The sequence below is a fragment of the Homo sapiens genome, chromosome 5 (genome assembly GCF_000001405.40).
Source record: "Homo sapiens chromosome 5, GRCh38.p14 Primary Assembly".
Lineage (NCBI taxonomy): Eukaryota > Metazoa > Chordata > Mammalia > Primates > Hominidae > Homo > Homo sapiens.
This window is the reverse complement of record NC_000005.10, coordinates 103,430,271-103,449,611: the sequence shown is the minus strand read 5'-3', so window position 1 is coordinate 103,449,611 and position 19,341 is coordinate 103,430,271. Positions and strand designations below refer to the sequence as shown.

Sequence of the window (19,341 nt, the reverse complement as noted above, 5' to 3'; positions counted from 1 at the left end):
CCCAGAAAATTATTTCTCATAGAATAAATATTTTAAAGACATTTCACCAAAGTAGAGATATGTCATTAGTGAAGACATATCAGTGGTTAATAAGCACATTACATGGTACTCCACATAGTGAGTGTTTTGAAAAATGCAAATAAAAACCATAATGAGATAACTCCCACTAGGATGTCTACTATCAAAAAGACAAACATTACCAAGTATTAGTGAGGGTGTGGAGAATCTGAAAAACTCATATACTGCCCATGGGGCTTTAAAATGGCACGGCCAATTTGGCAAATGGTTGGTCAGTTTTTTATAAAGTTAAAGTTAAATTTACCATTTGACCCAACAATTTCACCAAAGTAATCTACCAAAGAGAAATAAAAGCATATGTCCACACTGAGACCCGTACACAAATGTTCATAGAGACATTATTCAAGACAGCTCAAACTGGAAAGTAAATGTCCATAAATTTGCAAATGGATAAACAAAATGTGTCATATTCGTACAATAGAATATAATTCAGCAATGAAAAGTAATGAAGTACTGATAAGTGATACAACATGGATGAAACTTGAAAGCATTATAACAAGTAAAGGAAGCCAGTCACAAAAGACCACATATTGTATGATTCCACTTACATCAAATGTCCGGAAATGGCAAATATGTAATGACAGAAAACGTATTTTTGGTTGCCTGTGATTGGGAGGTGTGAGGCAGTAGCAACTGACTTACAAACAGACTCAAAGGAAATTTGGGGAATATTGGAAAAGTTCTGAAACTAGTTTATGATAATAGTTTCCTAATTCTATAAATTTATTAAAATGTCATTAAATTATACATGTAAAATGAGTGACTTTGCGGTAAGCTAAGTCTCAGTGCAGATGTTCTTAGGACATGAAAAATGGACAGGATGTTTTGACATACTGTTGTAAAATAAATCCAAATAAAATATTTACCTATAAAATGATTTAGTTTTTCATACATAGTATGATATTTTAAACTACTGTCCTTTAAAGAAAAATACTTTTTATTCTCTGCATGTGGCAGTTTCTTAATCTGTAGATGGAGATAAGAGTAACTACCTCATGAGCATTAGTGAAGAAAAATCAATTAATAGATGTAAAGAACTTGGAAGAGGGCCTGATATACAATAAGCATGAAATATATGTTTTATTATAGGTACTAACTAGAGATGTATGTCACTACCAACCACATATATTTTGTGATATTGATTTCTTTTGATTTTTTTTTCTGATGGGAAAAAAATGGACATTAATAATGAATAATACTCTCCAAAGTTGGCATAAAGGCCGAGGCAGGCGGATCATGAGGTCAGGAGTTCGAGACCAGCCTGGCCAATATGGTGATATGCCGTCTCTACTAAAAATACAAAAATTAGCCAGGCATGGTGGCATGCACCTGTAGTCCCAGCTACTCAGGAGGCTGAGACAGAAGAATTATGAACCCAGGAGGTGGAGTTTGCAGTGAGCCAAGATCGCGCCAATGCACTTCAGCCTGGGTGACATAGCGAGACTCGGTCTCAAAACAAAACAAAACAAAACAAAACAAAACAAAACAAAAAAAATTTCACATAAATAGACTACTTAAAACGGATGTGGGAAAATATCATAGCTAGAAAATTTGGAGTTTCATGGAACATAATCCATAAAAAAATCTTATTGGTTTTATTTTCATTTCAGATCCAAAAAACAATCAATCAAAACCATCATTTTAGTCCTCCTTTCCTCTCTCTTTTTCTCCCTTATCTGCTGACAGTGCCCATATTGAACATCTTTCTTATCAATTACAGGATGAAGGAAAATGGCCACCTCTAGAAGTAATAAAATTAGAAGGTGCAGAAGTTAGCATTGATAGCAGCTTGGGAAAACCATTTGTGTTTAACTGTGTGCCTCAGTCTGGAAATAGGACTTTTTGCCTCTATGCAACCTCAAACCAAGAAATGAAAAGGTAATTCACTAATCTTTTATCTTACATAGTTTCACTTTGAATGAGGGAAATGCTTCTTCCACAGCAAACTTACAGATTCTTAAGATCGGAAGCAGGAAACAACAGATTCACAGTATGAGTCAATAAATATCTTTTTTCCCACCCACCCCCCTTAGGTAGGAAAAGTTTGATTCTTCATTTTCCCTCCAGATTTGTTCTAACTATTTCCAAAGAACGTAAGGATCATACGCTAACTCACCTTAGGTCTCCATTTTTTCTTGAAAAATGTAATTATTACTGCAGATCTCATCTAGCATTTCCAAAACTTGCCAAGTGTATGTATTTTAAGCTAATTGGATGAATAAATAGTTGTAGGTATAAAAATAATTTATCAGGATCACAACTTAATAAAATATAGTGAGAAAAGCAAAATACTCATAATAATGTAGCTTTGCAGAGGAATGAAACTAGTTGATATCTTCACATACAACCAAAATGGAGGAGGATTGTGCTTACAATCTAAGAGGGTAGCCTATGAGCTCTGATCATTTAGCCACCATAATCATTACTCAGTCCCTGAGGGAATGGAGATCATAGGTCAATCCAATGAGTCGACTGAAAACTATTGAAAGTAATGCTAGAGTGAGGGGTGAGATATAGTGGCGGACAAAAAGTAAATGACAAAAAGGCCACAGGTCAACAGTGTTTAGTATCAATGACACATTTCCTGAAGAACGTTTGGGCCCAGCTCCAATCTTCAAGGTAGTCCTAGGCTGAAACATATTAGGCAAACAATACACCATCTCTATTTGTGGAACATTGTAATATTCAAAAGCATGGCACTCTAAAAGACAAACAAGAAAACATGATAACAATTTGATTGTACTTCAATTAATGCACAAAATATTTATTGGCCATCTAGTATGTCCAAAGACACTGTCTTAAGATCTCTAAAGATTATTAGTATAGTGAAGAGCCAATCCTTGCCCTCAAAAAAACCCTCTTAACTAAGAAGATAGGGCATTTATTTCAATATATTGAATCCAAAATAAAAATTGAGAAGTGCAATAGGAAAAGACAAAGTGGCATAAGAATTGAGAGTAGGAAGAGAGGTTTTCTAGATGGGGGTATGAAAGAGTTGTTTATAAAGGGTATGGTATAGGATTGGATAAGCATATAACAGAGAAGTAGAACATAGGATGGCAAATGGAATAAATCAAGCTTTGGGGAGAGTAGCAGGCAGTATAATTTGATTGGAAGTTAGGGGATTAAAAGAAAATTTAAAAAGATTAGCAAGATAGGGTGGGCTGAATAGGCTGGTGCCTAGCTAAGGAGGCAAAACTAAGAAAATTCAGTCCTCAGGGAGGGGCGTTAATGGTGTGCTAAAGGAGGCCTCTATGTCCAAGGAACACTTAGGGAAAGACTCAGGACAATGATTATTTACCAGTCTTTCCATATTTTAATAGTCAGTACCTTACAGTTAATATACCAATTGTTATTAACTTTGTTGGTGTTAATAAATTCATATATCTTTGTAAAGACTGACTACATTTATTCTCAGGCATTAAGTAAACTATAGTAAAGGAGAAGGATAAGAATATTTCAAATATGCCAAATGGAAGTGCGATTTTGCCACCTAGTAACACCAATTTTGCAAATGTGTCACCCTTCAACTATAAACTTAGAGCAATGAAATATATCTGAGCCTCAAGACTGTTCTGCCTCAACAATGGGTTCAGTAGAAACAACAAGCTCCTCCAAGTGATATTTATCCAGTTCCCCAAGGACATCTCCTCTCACTTTACTGTCTTTCAGGTGGCTTGAGGCAATGGACAAAGCGGCCCGTCTTGTCCGCCAGGTAAAATTTCCTTGATATTTATCTCTTCTTTCATTTTGCATTTCTTCTCAGAGGGAGAAAGGAACATGTTAGATGTCATGCAGTCTACCCCGGGACGTCTCAGATGTGTTCTAAAAGCTGGGAAAGAGGATCTTAAGACAACAGGGTTTTTTGCTCAGTTCCTATGGGGGAGCTTGCATTCCTGCTGCTCTTTTCATTTTCAGGAGTTTGTATGCCATCCTTCTCAGTAAGACTCAGTGGGGAGTCACAAACTGGGGTGGAATTTCTGTTTCACATGAAGAAGTCCAGTAGTTCCCCATGGATGACAAACCACTGCTGCTGTTTTCTTTTTACTCTCCAAATATAAGATCTCAGGGATATCTCAGGATGGTGCTATTGATTGAGCAGCTTACTAGAAAATGAGTGTGTTATAATTCAGAAATACAGTGCTTTATGTTAGCATCCTTGTTCTGTAGACATATAAGGCCAATTTTCACAATTCCTGCCCATTCATGATTCCAAGCTTTGGAGCAAGATGGTTTTTAATTTAAATTTCACCTACAAACTGATAGATAACTTTATAACATCAACAGGCGAGTCATCACCTCAATGTCTAAGGCATTTGATATTTCTCTTTCTGAACTTGTTCTACAAACTGTTAGGGGAAAAATTGCTTTAATACCAATTGTTTCATTTTTATGATATAGATATGATTTCTAATGAGATTATAGATTTCCTTTAAATATGCTCATTTCCTCACAAAATGGTATACAAGCAAAAGTAATTATCAATTGTCTTCTCTACATATTTTGGCTCTGTGCCTTTGGGAAAATTTGGATTGTTTGAGCTTAAATGTACTGCCAGGTACCCTGTAACTGTCCTTTCAGAACAATAACAAGCATCATCATTGACAAACAACAGGACTTGTGTTTCATTTTACCTGGAACACAACGTTGAGCACACACATTCATCTCTCCAATGTGTCATCCTAATGAGCCTCAATATTTTTAAGAGGCATTTATTCTGCTAATGCACTCAGAGTCTGAAGCAAAGTGGAAAAAATGAACACCCAAACTCCCAGCAGGCTCCCATTTCGCAGCAAAGAACACAGCAAACTCTGCCTTCTGAAATCATTTGCCCTGCCATGTTAAAACTAAAGAGCAAAAATGAAACCAAACAAAGAAGAGGAACTGGCAAGTACAGGCAGGGCATTCTGATAAAGAGATAAAGCACAGTGCTCCCAGCCTCAGGTCACAGTTCCCAGAGTTCCCTCCCAGTTCCCAGGCCTGTGGAGGAAGGGCTGCCCTCCAGAGAAGAGAATTTTAATTTATCTTTGGCCTTCATGTCACTGACTGTGAAAGCCTAAGACCTGAGTTGGCCTGGGGCATTTAACTAGTTCCATTGCACAAAGGAGAGTTACAGGTAAGGAAAAGCACGAACCAAGGATTGCTATTCGTCACAGTGGACATACCAGGAACAGGGCTAGGAAGACAATCCCAATGGTGAGTGAGGTAACATCTTCCCAGACATGTTACCTAACTTATCAGGCTCAGCGCTTATAGACAGGGGCATTAAAAACAGTCTTTGCTAAGGTGCTTGTTTCCATTGCCTTTCTATACATGATTCCCTGTTCTTTGACTGATATACTTTTGATTTCCTCAGAATAAAATAGAAGCCAAAAAGAAGGGATGTCTATGGACACGAGAAGGAAAAAGAGTACTTCCCTATAGACAATGGATAAGTTTAGGTTTTCTGGCTAGTTGCTCGGGTATTCAGATTGTCTTAGCAAGAACCACGTAGGGCAGTGGCTTCCCTAGTGTCAGACAGACTTGGTCTGGGAGTTGAAGACTTTTGGCACAGGATGACCACTCAGCTGACCCTTTTATGTTACACCTGCAGAGCCATGTCTGGGAAGATGTTACTCTGCACAACAGTAGCCTCCCACCTCTGGCTATCAAGAACCCAGGGTGTCTGGGTCTTCTGCACCAGCTGGATATAAACACGGACATGTGGGTCCTGCACTATTGCATCTTGAAAGGATGGTTGGCTTGTATTTCTATGATAACAATCGCTCTACCCAAGCCTCAGGTATGGACTCAAATTTCACTTGAAATAATAGTAATTACAATAATAATAGTAGCAACATATTAGTTTTATTGATCTTCTACCTGGCCCTGTGCCATGTGCTTTACCTAAATTCTTCCATCAGTCCTCCAGAGAAGAGGTATTATTACTGTTCCCATTTTACAAATTAGAATGGGAAAGTGGCTGCAAAGTGTACATAACTTGACAAGATCACATGTAGTAAGTAATGAAGGTGGGATCTGAAGACAGCCAGGCTAACTCCAATGTACCCTTCACCTCACATTCTATTGCCTGGAAAAGTGAAAAGTAAATTCCTTTATTCTTTTTGTCATTGATGCATTCAGAGTCAATACCAATAGTTTTCTTAGGTAGTGACTTCTCTCTTTTCTCATAATGCCTAAGTCATTGTTATTGTGTAATTTATAAAGAGAAGAGGTTTATTTAGCTCACAGTTCTGCAGGCTGTACAAGAAGCATGGTGCCAGCATTTGTTTCTGGTCAGGGCCTCAGACTGCTTCCACTCATGGTGGAAAGGGAAAGCAAGTCAGCATATGCAAAGATCACACGGCAAGAGAGAAAGTGAGAGAACAGGGAGGTGCTAGGCTCTTTTAACAACCAACTCTTGCAGGAACTAACAGAGCAAAACTCACTCATTAACACGAAAACGGCACCAAGCCATTCATGAGGGATCTTCTCACATGACCCAAGCACTTCTCATTAGGCCCTTTCTCCAACACTGGGGATCTTTCCAGTTTGGAGGGGTCAAATATCCAACCATAGCATTCCACCCCTGACATCCCATAATTCATGTTCTTCTCATATTGCAAAATACGATCATCCCTTGCCACCCCCGTGACCCAAATACCTCCCATTAGCCCCGCTCCTCCAACATTGGGATCAAATTTCAACATGAGGTTTAAAGTGGTCAAATATTCAAATTATAGCACATAGTAGTCCTAATTTGGACAAGTGAGTAACAACAACAACAAAAAAACACATATTAACTATTTTCTTTGGGCAAATTGCTTAACTTCCTAAAACTTAGTTTCCTCATTAATAAAATGGGAATAACAGCTATCAATCTTCCACAAAACTGTTGTGAAGATCAAATGAGTCATTGCTATTAAAGTGATTTAAGAAAGCTCTATACAAAGTTTTCTTACATATATTATTAGATATATTTTATGTTTTACTGTATGTATTTTATTATGTATTATACTTATTAAATTATATATAATAGTTTAAAGTTATATGTACAAATGATCATACAAATAATATAATTTAATAAAATAATTGCACCTGATTTCCACAAAATAAATTACTTAACTTTCTTATAATTTTTGACAAAATATATCATTGGTGTTCTATTTGCAGTTAAATTTTTCCCATATGAATAATCTTTAAATAATTAGCAGTAATTAGCAATTGTGAACATCCTGGAATCTCAGTCATTTAATTTCTTCTTTTAGGATTAATGCTTATGTTTAGATAGGTAGACATGCCAAATTGGAAGGAGGCATCCAGTGACCATTTTGACCTTGGAAGTGTACAAGAGGTACAAAGTGAGCAACACACCATGGCCCGTTTTTCATCACTCAAGATGAACAATGAAATGAGTCTTCTCCACCCTCCCTTCCATTTTAAAACATGACCCTAACATCATTCCACTATGAAGAGATAGTCTTTCTAAGCCCTTACAAAACAGGCTGTTTCTATTCAACCCCAAATTCTTAGTTTTAAACAGCTGATAGCAGGATGGGAATTAAGGTAAACAAAACAATTAAACCTCCAAAGTAGTCACTGACTGGGACTTTTAGTATAAAATATCACTATAAACGTCTGAACTCCTTTAATTACCAAATCAATTAAGCTAATTTTCAAGGGACTGTTTTCATAGACAGAAAGAAAATGCTTGGGATCGAATCCACAGATTACTCCAAATTCAGAACTGTTAGCAAAGTGCTTTTAAACCCCTGGGGCCCAGAGACTGCCACTGATTACAAGAGGTTAAAAATAGTAATGACAGCCACTAGGTGGCTTTTCTTATCCCAAAAGGTCAGAGGCCCTACTTGAACAGAAAAGTCCTAATTAAAGAGCTGCAAAAACTGGTCTATTAAATAGCTTAAATATAATAACAGCAAAAGCAGCAGCTGTCATTCAGTGAGAGCAGCTCTTGTACTAGGCACTCTGTTGAGTGCTTTTACTTATTATTTCATTTAATTTCTACAACAACCCTATAAGGTAGGTTATAGGTTATTATCCCACCTACAGGTTTAGAAACTGATGCTTAGCAAGGTTAAATAATTTGCCTAAGTTCTCCTAAATAGTAAATGGTGAAGACAGAATTTGAACCCAGGTAGCCTAACTTATCAATAAAAAGAAAAAAATTGATGAAGAAGAAGAAAATGAAATTCCTGTTTATATTCAGCTCTTATCGTTGCATAACTCTTTCTAGAGATGTCTATCATTCTTTGTTGCCTCTAGAGCACGCCAGGGCCTTATATTTTGTCCAGAAGCTCCTGTTTCTGGCCTTATCTTCCGCTGTTTCTGCTAAAGTACCCTACATTCCACCCAAACAGGGCTGCATTCTATTTCTTTACCACACCCCACCTTGTTAATATTTTTCTGACCCAATGATTTTATTTGTGCTAGTTCCCTCCCCTGAACTGTCTCCTACCTACTGATCACCCAATATAAATTGTCCAGATTCTAGCTGTCCTTCAAACATCTATTCAAGGGCTGTCCATCTCTACTATTAAGCAATCTCAGATGGTCCTAGATAAATAAACCTTCTCTCTTTTCTGAACTTAACTGTCGTTTGACAATTATCATCCTTTACCTTGTGTTTTATTTTCTAATGGTTATCTTTTCTAAGGTATTATATGCTCCAAAAATGACACATTATGTGTACTTAATGAAAGAATATTCAAATTAACTTAACTGACCATGATTGCTATGAATTGTGAGTAATTTGTCATCCCCTCATTTAATAATGGAGATTAGGAAATTGAAAAGCCAGTTCAAAGGCAAAACTAGAACTCAGTTCACCACATGCCTGGCCTTTCTTCCATATGACACTCTTTCCAGATATAAACAGTTATCTAATTTCTTCAAGCACCATCCAGAGCTCTAAGGTTATGGTCATCCCACCCCACCACCACTACTGACACTCACCCACCCAGGTGTGGGAATCAATACACAGCATCTGGGGACCTGAAGACAGATGCACCATCCAAAGGACTAAGAATTGGCATGCTGCCTGCTTCCAGAGCCCATGCATGCCACCTGCAGTCCTGCAAATATATCCTACCCCATTGCAACTGCCAGCACTAGCATATACCATCCAGGGACCAAAGGACTATCCCACTTGGTGTTCCCATTCCCAGCAAAGCTGCACCACAGCCTCTATGAACAACCTCAGCCTAAGTCACTGAAGAGTTCACAGACACCAATGATATTATCAGGGCTGAAGAAATTGTACAAAGACTATGCTATTGGACCCACTCAGAATCAAAGCCAAAGCATCATACCTAATCAACATAATATGTAGACCTACAGAAAAATGTATTTCCTTATGACAGCCAATCCATAGAATTGGAAAGTGTTATATCAGATGCACAAAAAACATGAAAAAGTAGGGAAACATGACATCTCCAAAGAAACATCTTTGGGATCCACAAATAGATCCCAAAGAAAAAGAAGTCTGTGAAATGCATGAAAAATAATGTAAAACAATGATCTTAAGGAAACTCAGTGAAACACATGAGAACACACATAAAACAAAGAAGTCAGAAAAACAATTCAGGATATGAATGAGAATTCAATAAAGACATAGATATAAAAAAGAACCAAACAAATTCTAGAACAAAAGAATTCAATGAATAAAATAAAAAATACAATTGAGTGCTTCAACAACAGATAGATCAAGCAGAAGAAATAGTTTCTGAACTTCAAAACAGGCCATTTGAAATAATCCAGTCAGACAAAGAATAAAAACTAATTAAAAAGATTGCAGAAAACCTACGTTTGACTTGGGGGATACCAAAAAGTGAACAAATTTTTAAAATTTGGAAGTTCCAAAGAAGAAGAAATGAACAAAGGCAGACAAAAACCTATTTAGTTAAACAACAGCTGAAAACTTTTTACGTCTACATCAAGAGATATAAAAATTCAGGTGACAGGAAGCTTAAAGATTCCAAAATAAATTCAATCCAAAAAAGTCTTATGCAAGGCACATAATAGTGAAAGTGTCCAAAGTAAAAGACAAAGAGAGAATTCTAAAGCCAGCAAGAGAAAAAACTTCAAGTCACATATGAGGGAATGTCTATCAGATTAACAGCAGTTTTCTCAGTAGAAAACCTTACAGGCCAGGAGAGAATGGGATGATATATTCAATGTGCCGAAAGAAAGAAAACTGCTAGCCAACAATACTATACTTGGCAAAGCTATTCTTCAGAAATGAAAGAGAAATAACATCTTTCCTAGATAAACAAAAGGTGAGAGAATTCATCACCACTTGACTGACCCTACGTGAAATGCTCAAGCTGTTAAGCATTAGGGAGCCCTAATCTGGAAGTGAAAGAATAGCTATCATAAAAAGATACAGAAGTATAAAAGTCACTAGTAGAACAGATAACAAATGAGAGAAAGATATAAAGTTGTATCAGTTTTTAAGACCACAAAGTCATAAAGGTAAACCATAAAAGAGAGATAAAAGAACAAAAGATATTCTAAAATAAAAAAGAAACACCCAACTATATGCTCCTTTCAAGAAACTCACTTGACCTGTAAAGACATATAAAGTAAAAGTAAAGGGATTAAAAAAATATTCCACACAAATAGAAACCAAAAGCATGCAGGAATAGCTCTATTTATATCAGATAAAATTGACTTTAAGGAAAGAAAATGTGAGAAGAGACAAGGAAGCTCATTATATACCGATAAAGGGGTCAGTTCAGCAAGAGGATATGGCAAATAGAAATATACACCACCCAACACTGAGCACACAGAAGATAAAGTAAATATTATGAGAGCTAAAGAAAGAAAAAGACTCCAATACAATAATAGTTGAAAAATTCAACATCCCACTTTAAGCATTGGATAGAACATCTAGGCAGAAAACAAAGAAACATTAGACTTAATCTGCATTTTAAACCAAATGGACTAAACAGATATTTATAGAACATTTCATCCAACAGCTACAGCACATTCTTCTCATCAGAACAGGAAATATTCTTTAAAATAAAGCATTCTTTAAAATAGAGCATATGTTAGGCCACAAAACAAATCCAACAAATTTTAAGAAATTAAAATCAAATCAAATATCTTCTCAGAACACAACAGAATACCAATACCAAATTAATACTAAAAATTTAATACCAAAAAGAACTTTGGAAGCTGTACAAATTCATGGAAATTACATAACATGCTCTGGAGCAACTATTAACTCTTTATTAAGCAGGAAGTCAAAAAGTGTCTTAAATGAAAATGGGAACATAACATACCAAAATCTAGAGGACACAGCAAAAGCTCTGATAAGAGTAGAGTTTATAGCAACAAACACCTACATCGAAAAGTGGAACAAATACACAATTATGCACCTCAAAAACTAGAAAAGCAAGAATAAACCAAACCCTAAATCAGAAAGAAATAGTGCTCTGGGCTGAGAAAGTTGCCTCGTTTTTCTGCTCCGTCCTTGCCTTAGGTGTTTCCTTTCACTTCTCTGTTGACTTCCACTGTTTCTTCTTGGGTTATCTATTCGAAGTGTAATTATCTACTATTTTGGTTCCTCTTTGCAGAGAAGGTGAGTACCAGATGCCTGTTGTTGACATGTTGAAGACCTTCCCTCTTTTTTTTCAGCTCCTCTCTTGAAAATATATTATTTTGTGGTTAATAAAAATATTTAATCCAAACTCATCCATTCTTTCCCAGTCCTACTTCTTGAATATTTCTATCTCCACAGGTCCTCACTTTCTAGCCCAAATTATCTCAAATACAGATTAAAAAAACATTTCCTTTACTAAAATTCCAACAGAAAATTTATATCTAGGCCATGTTCTAAAATAGAAGCCTGTGATTTTTGTTTTTACCTGATTCTACTCTTGAATAAAAAATACCATTTGCCTGAGGATGTACCTTGTTCCAGAAGGTGAACTTTACCACACCCCCTCCCCACTCCCACTCTGACTGCTACTGGTCCAGATGGAAGCTCTCCCAAGGCTGATCAGCTGCTAACCCTTCTTTAGGGTTAAGGTGTCTGTGCAAGAGCTCTTCTGAAGCCCTTTACCATTCTTTTGATTTGAATAAATTGAGGTTTATATCATTTTTCTAAGTGTTCTGATCAACCTTCCTGTACATTCTTCACTTGAATTACAACCTGAGGCTCATGGAGGCATATTCAAATCTCCTGCGGGAAATTCTCAGAATAAATATGCCCTCTCCATCCTCCACTAAGAATCACTCCCTGATAAGCCACATCTTTTAAAGGGCTGGATCATCCTGCTTAGGCAGGGTGGGAGTGGGAAAGTTAGCATGTACTGAGTGTTTCCTATGTGTCAAGGATTAGGATAAGCACTTAGGTTTGTTATCTAAGTCTAATCTAAACAAAACATCCACTGTTATTATATTATCATAGGTGAGAAACTAAGGTTTACAGAAGTTACCTAACATGCTGATGGTAACCCAGCAATTAAATGATTAGAGACAAAATGTAAACAAATGATGCCTAAATCCTGTGCCCAAACTCTTACCCACAATGTTACGTATAGTACCCCCTGGCAGAAATTTGTCTTCTTAAAGTAGCACTTGGTCAGTAATACTGTTTGTCTGATCTCTGCAGCCTGGATATCAGCACACTCACTGCAATAGACAGGGTCTACTCAGTCCAGCTAGTTGTCATAACAACCACAGGAGTCATGAGGACAGCCGAAGAATTTGTTGAGAATGGCTGAACCCATGCTATGCCATGAACACTACAGGCACTAAAATACTCAGTTTAACTTAATCATATTGATATACAAGGAATACTAATCATTGTTATATTCACAAAGATTATGCAGTTCTAATGCTAATTTTCAATTCTTCTAGCTGATGCTAAGTAACTAACGACCTTTATGCTGGTCTGATCCATAATTCCTTTACTTATATTGCTCAATCTCTGCTTAACTCTTGTACATTCCACTTTGGCCTGGTTCTTTGATCTCCTGCCCTACAGAGGTCATAATCTTGAAGCAGGCCTTAATTACCACTTATATCAATATTTATCAAACTACAGGTTTTGACCCCCACTAGTAAGTCCAGCAATGAACATAGTACATTGTGGCCAGGATTTTAATGACAACAGAATAGAGTTTGAATCGAAAATGTCATGGTACACCATGATGTTTCACAAAGCTTTTGCTCTAATATGAAAATATGTCAAGGTCTGTACATATTAAATTTTTGGATCACAGCCAAAAAATTTGAAAAACTATTCAAAAACAGTCTCTGCATATGTATTTGTTCAAGTGGTCAGTTTTATGTTCAAAATCTTAGAAACAGTATTTAGATGGTTACTTCCTTTTAATTATATTTGTAATGTGTCTGCTACTAGTTGCTTTGTTCTTGAGATCCTGGCTTCTGTGGTCATTGCTACATAGAGACCTGGATCCTTGACTGCAGTATCTCAGATGCTTTACTGTTTTATTTTTATTTTATTTTGTATTTTAGTCTATTTCCTTATATTCTTCATTAGAGATCTGGGAGATCTTATATGACAGTTACTATTTTTGGAGGTATCTGTAGTATTGTTGGCATGACTTATGTCTTGTAACAGTCACCTGAGATGCTGAGAGAATACCGAGGACAGCAAAGTAAGGCAGGGAAAAGATAAAAGTAATATAAGGGGAAAAAGCAAGATGTAAGAAGCAACACAGCAGGTTTCCTGTAAAAACTATATTAGACACTAACCCCACATTTTACTTTCAGCTAGATAAATATACCTCTGATGTGTAATGAGGGAGTTGGAGAAATAGCCTCGTCAGTTCCCTAGAGGATTTCCTTACTGTCAAGGAGAGGGTTCGTACTTTAACAACATGCATTGCTGGCTCGCCTGTGCCTGCTAATGAAAAAGCCACAGCATGAGTATGCCAGAAGCCCCTTAGTCTTCTATTTAAGCATGAAGCCCCTTTTCATTCACTATACACTTGATGAGGTTTTTTTTTTCCTTTTCCCTCTCTCCAGAATAAAACTAGAAGTAACCAATTGTGACTGTTGACTACCGTTCTTGAATAAATCACATCAAGGTCTGTGTGCATGTCTCAGAAAGATATATTTTACATTATTAAAATAAATGGAACATGTAATACTTGCACAGTTCTTGTAAGAAATCTCTATCCAAATTAGCTTGCTAATTACTGCTGCTATCTCATAACAGAGAGAGATCAGCTCAATGAGGTCACCTCAAATGAGGTAATGGAGCTATAATTGGATATCTTTACTGCCAATCATTTCTTCCCTAGAACTGGTTAGAAAAATGGTCAGAAAATCCTTGTAGCAAACACTTCTTGGACAAACCTATCTGTTCTTAAAAAGAATAATGATAGATGAGGGTATTTATATCTCCTCAGACACATGAGAAAAAAATCTCAGAAGTAGGAAGAAGCCACAAACTAGTGCAGCAACATTTAATGTTGTGTATTCTATAGTCTGGAGTAGAAAATTAAGATAGCAAAACCAGCCAGGTATGATAAAGTGTGCCTGTAGTCCCAACTACTCAGGAGGCTGAGGTGGGAGGATCACACGAGCTCAAGAGTCTGACTCCAACCTGAGCAACATAGTGAGACCCTGTATCTAAAAAATAATAAATAAAAAAGCTTTAAATGATATCAAAATAACCTTCTGATACATCTTTAGGTATCCTATAGTCCTAAAATATCTAGCCTACTGCTTATTCTACTTCTAGTATATACTAAAAGGAAAATATACATCTACATAAAGACATGTACACAAAAATTCATGACAATATTATTCATAATAGCCAAAAAAGGAGAAAACTAAAATGTCTATCATTAATGAATAAATAAAATGTGGTATATTCATACAATGGAATATCATTTAGCAATAAAAAGGAATGAAGTTACTGATATATAATACAACGTAAATGAACTTTGAAAATATCATAGTAAGTGAAAGAAGCCAGCCACAAAAGACCGCATATTACATGATTTCATTTATATTAAGTGCTGCAGCTGCACCCCAGAGCTCCCGCCCCCGCCATGGGAAGGGGCAGGTCTCCCGCTTGTCCCTGGCTCCTGCCTTCTTCCTGGAGCAGGAGGCCCAGGTCTGCAGCCACCAATGCGGAGGCTGCAGCTGCACCCAGGAAGACAGGTCCTGCCTGTTCCCGGGTTCCCCAAGAGCACAGGGAGGCTCCATTCACAGCTAAGGTTGGGCGGCTATAGCCCCGCCCAGGAGGGTGGGGCTCCTGCTTATTCCATAGAGGCCGAGGCCTGGGTCTGCAGCTACAGCTTGGGTGGCTGCAGCCGCACAGGGAGCTCCTGTTCCATCTCAGAAGGGGCAGGGCTCCCACTGGCTCCATGAAGTGTGCAGCCCCTGCCGTGCTTCCCTGCTGCAGCCGGCATGAGGGCAGCAGACACTTCCATCAGTGGGTATGGAGTTTCTTTTTGAAGTGATGAGAATGTTCTAAAATTAGATTATGGTCATGGTTTCACAATTCCATAAATAAACTAAAATCATTGAGTTGTACACTCTAAATGGATGAATTTTATGGTATGTAAATTATATCTCAATAAAGCTATTATATAGATATAAATACAAATATAGATACAGATATAGACAGATACAGACATCTAGCTCAAAGAAACAAATCACTCCCTGTTTTGGTAAACACCATATTACTGGAGCCTACTAAAGTTTTTTTAAAAAATCTCATTTCTAAAATGAATGCTTTTTCTGAAGTTGGTTCTAAAATGGACTTTTAAAAAATGAAAATAGTAAAGAAATTTAATATTGCATCTAACACCCACCCCTGCCAATAAAGCAAGCAATTTTTTCTAATTTTTAAAGTCAAAAAGCCATTCATTCTGTTTAAAAAGAAAAATTGCTGTCTTTCTGACAGTGTACTTTGTTACCAAGTGTAAGTAAAAGGAAAACAAAAGCCAGCCATATTCAAAGGGACTACATTTTCCCTGCATAGTCTATTAATGCATTAGCATAGAATAGTTATCAGGTAAAGTGGTAAAAATCCAAATGGCATTTTCATATTTTGTCTGTTAGTAGTGCACTGAAGTGGCTCTTGGGAGGATGTGGGGGATGAGAATAGGAGTGAGCAAGAGGGCTTTAAACATCTAATCATCGCCATTACTCATATTGTCTACAGCCTGTGCATGAGATTCAGGCTGGCCTCAGAGCATGAAGACACTATGAAAAGCAAACAAGGGTTTTGATTTTTTCAGAATCTTCTCCTAGATTGAGATCTGTCTCCTGACCCCCAAACAATGGAAACAAGATTCAGGCCAAGCAATTTATAACCACTAACATGGATTCAAAGGATCACCAGGGAGAACTTATCTTTTAAAGCCAGTCATTTCTTTTCATTGTTAATTCAGTTGGCTCTCTCATATCACTCTATGGGTTCATATTTTAAATGTGCTTTGCATATGCACAAGTAAGGCGAGAAATCATGTATGTTGCAGAAATGGCCAGAAATCTTTATAATTCTTCATGGATTATAAAGGATGCTTTAGTGGTTCTGCCCAAGCAAATACTATTTAATTTTCCTTTTAATATGATATTGCAGGTATCATTCTTTGATACAGAAAATTGTATTTCAAAATGTGTCCTTCAGGTAAAGAAGCTAGTTTGGGCACACAGTAACCCAAAGCTAAACACTGAAAATGAAATAAGAAGATTGCAAAAATGGAAACCAGGAAATCTAAATTCCATTACCAGTCTTGCCATTAATCATTAGCATGTGACCTTAAATTACATATTCTTTTGGAGTCTGAGATTCTTCATCTGTAAAATGAGACAGCTGGACTAGCATTTCCTTCAGACACAAAATTTTCTTGACATCCTTTCAGACATCTTTTCTCCTTCTTATTCTTTCCCTCTTCTCATTTTTTTTTCCTTTTTAGGTGGTCTATATCTGCAAGGATATAGGGTGAGTGAACAGACCCTTAGTTCCAAACAATTAGTAATTGAACTCTAGCCTCCATCCGAAGAGTTCAAGACTTTCTATTTCTGTGCGGAAAATGAAACAGAAAACCGACGGTAAGTCAAGATCTTTGTATTTCTTCTCCTTTACCAGTCCTGAGAAGGCCTTCTTAGCAAACTCTCATCCTTACTTTCCAGCTCCAACTTCACATCTTCAGTTCAATTCTCCCTCTTCCTTTGCAGTCTTCATAGCTAATACTCTCCAGGATTTTTGTCAATGCATCCTTAGATAACTCTTCTAGAAGTGTTTTTTTTTTTTTTTCAAATGGAAAAATAGTCCACAATTCTTCCCAAGGCACTGGCTGACTCAGGCTTCAACATAAAAAATCCACTGTTGCCATAATCTGTAAATATTATAATTTATTAATTCACAGATTTGCTGTTTCACCTCTTTTCACACAACTCTTACTAAAATGTCTATCTGAATTTGGTCAGTTATTTGGTTTTGTTATAAGCCATTGAAGGACACAGGACTTACCTGTCTAATTCATGATATGTTCAGTATCAAGCTTGTCATGTACAAATGGGCACTTAGTTCATAATGATACTGAAATAAAAAAGGGCAGTAAAGTTCACAGAGACAAAGCCATGAGGCCAAGCAAGTGTTCTTTGGTACCTAGAGGATCTCCATCCCTCAAGTCTCCCTGACCTAACTCTAATCCCCGAGACATCCAGCGTCCTCCATCTCCCATCCGTACCTGCAACTGCTTCATGACCATCCCTCACCCCATCCAGTAAAAAGGATCTAATAAAGAAATTCACAGTAATTTGTTAAAACACATGACATGGTAAAACCTCCAGAGATATTTGTGAGAACCAGATACTAACCCAAAGAAATAACACTCTAAAAGTGGAATTTCAGGAATTTCCATCAGGTGATCATTTGGGGGATGGAGAAAGGATCTCTCTGGGCCTTCTCCCATTGCATAAACCTTGCCTGTTCCACTCATTTCTCAAGATGAGCTACAGCAGGAGGATCTTGAGAATAAAACTGCTAGATATGTGGCCAGGATCTTCTTTCCAGAGCTTGTGCTATACAATCTGGGTGACAGATTATGATAGTTCCCTTGAGGGTGAGGCTCCATCCAGCCAGCAGATCAGAGAAAAGGTCAATGAAACACAGTTAACTTCCATCTGATAAAATCCACTGGGTTCTCTAAGAGATGAGGTTGAATAGTTGGATCTCACTGCCAAATCCATAGGGGATTTTATAAGAAACAAGAGTCATTACAGAAATATTTCTAAGCATAAAAGCTGAGTGTCACATAGTACATGAAACTCTGGTTCCACAAAGTAGCCCACTTACACCTAAAGTAAGTTTAAGAAATGACACAAATCATATATCCTGTCAGAGAAACAAAGCACATTAACCAGGAAATCTGAGACAGACTTCCGGAAAGAATACTGGTAAACTGTTTTGGTGTTTGTGTGTGTTTTTAATAACATCTATTAACATCCCTTAGAGTAAATGTTATATAGGCATGTTTCATAAAACATCATCCCATGTTTGCTGAAGTGTCAAGAGTTTAACAAAGAACTATTTTGCCTTTATGGCAATATTTGTTTACTATGTGTTTGATCAATTAAGCTTTAAAGTTAAATAGAAATAATAAAATACTAATAACAATTTTTAAAACCCTATAGCTCAATCACTATTTATAAACATTATACCCTCTTCTGATCCTTTTATATTAGCATATTTCATTACTACCACAACATATTCTACATTTGGTATTTTATATTTTTATTAAATCTAACAATCTAAGGAGCATGGTTTATCCTATTAATTTCAAACTAAATAACCAAGAGAAACAATTAGAAAATAAATAAAAAGATTTTGTAATATTTCTTCTCCCCAGAGTCCAACAAATTGTGTAATGACCAGTCCTGTGTCTATTTTTTTCTGCAGCTGGATTACAGCTCTGAAAGCATTTATCAAAAAAAATGGCTTCCTTTGCATTAGGCTATTCAAGGCTTTATGAATTGACCTCTCGGACAAGCCAAAATGCGAAAGAGACCCTAACTCTTAAAAGGATCTACAAACTCATCACCAACTTGTAGAAACAAACAAAATGTCTATCATTATATAACTTTTCAAATGAATGTTCTTCCAATGTATTAAAACTGTGTGATGAGATTATAATTTTGTTTTTGAACCAAAGCACCGCAGCAATATCGAATGTGACATTGAGGTATACAACTTATATCAACATCACTAATACCCTCATATTTTCCCCCTCAGGCTGCATATGTTAGCAGTAAAATATTGTATGC

At 36.8% G+C, this 19,341-nt stretch overlaps 1 pseudogene, besides 1 other annotated feature; it reads left to right on the top strand.

Moving 5' to 3' along the window:
* Positions 1-19,079, top strand: part of PDZPH1P (PDZ and pleckstrin homology domains 1, pseudogene) — a 96,086-nt pseudogene extending 77,007 nt beyond the window's left edge.
* Positions 6,414-6,632: a silencer, noted in NCBI's record as "fragment chr5:102778681-102778899 (GRCh37/hg19 assembly coordinates)". NCBI's record gives its function as "represses an EF-1alpha promoter that drives an FKBP-Casp9 reporter gene in an ReSE screen in HepG2 liver carcinoma cells and K562 erythroleukemia cells {active_cell/tissue: HepG2 | K562}" and the evidence as "EXISTENCE:reporter gene assay evidence [ECO:0000049][PMID:32094911]".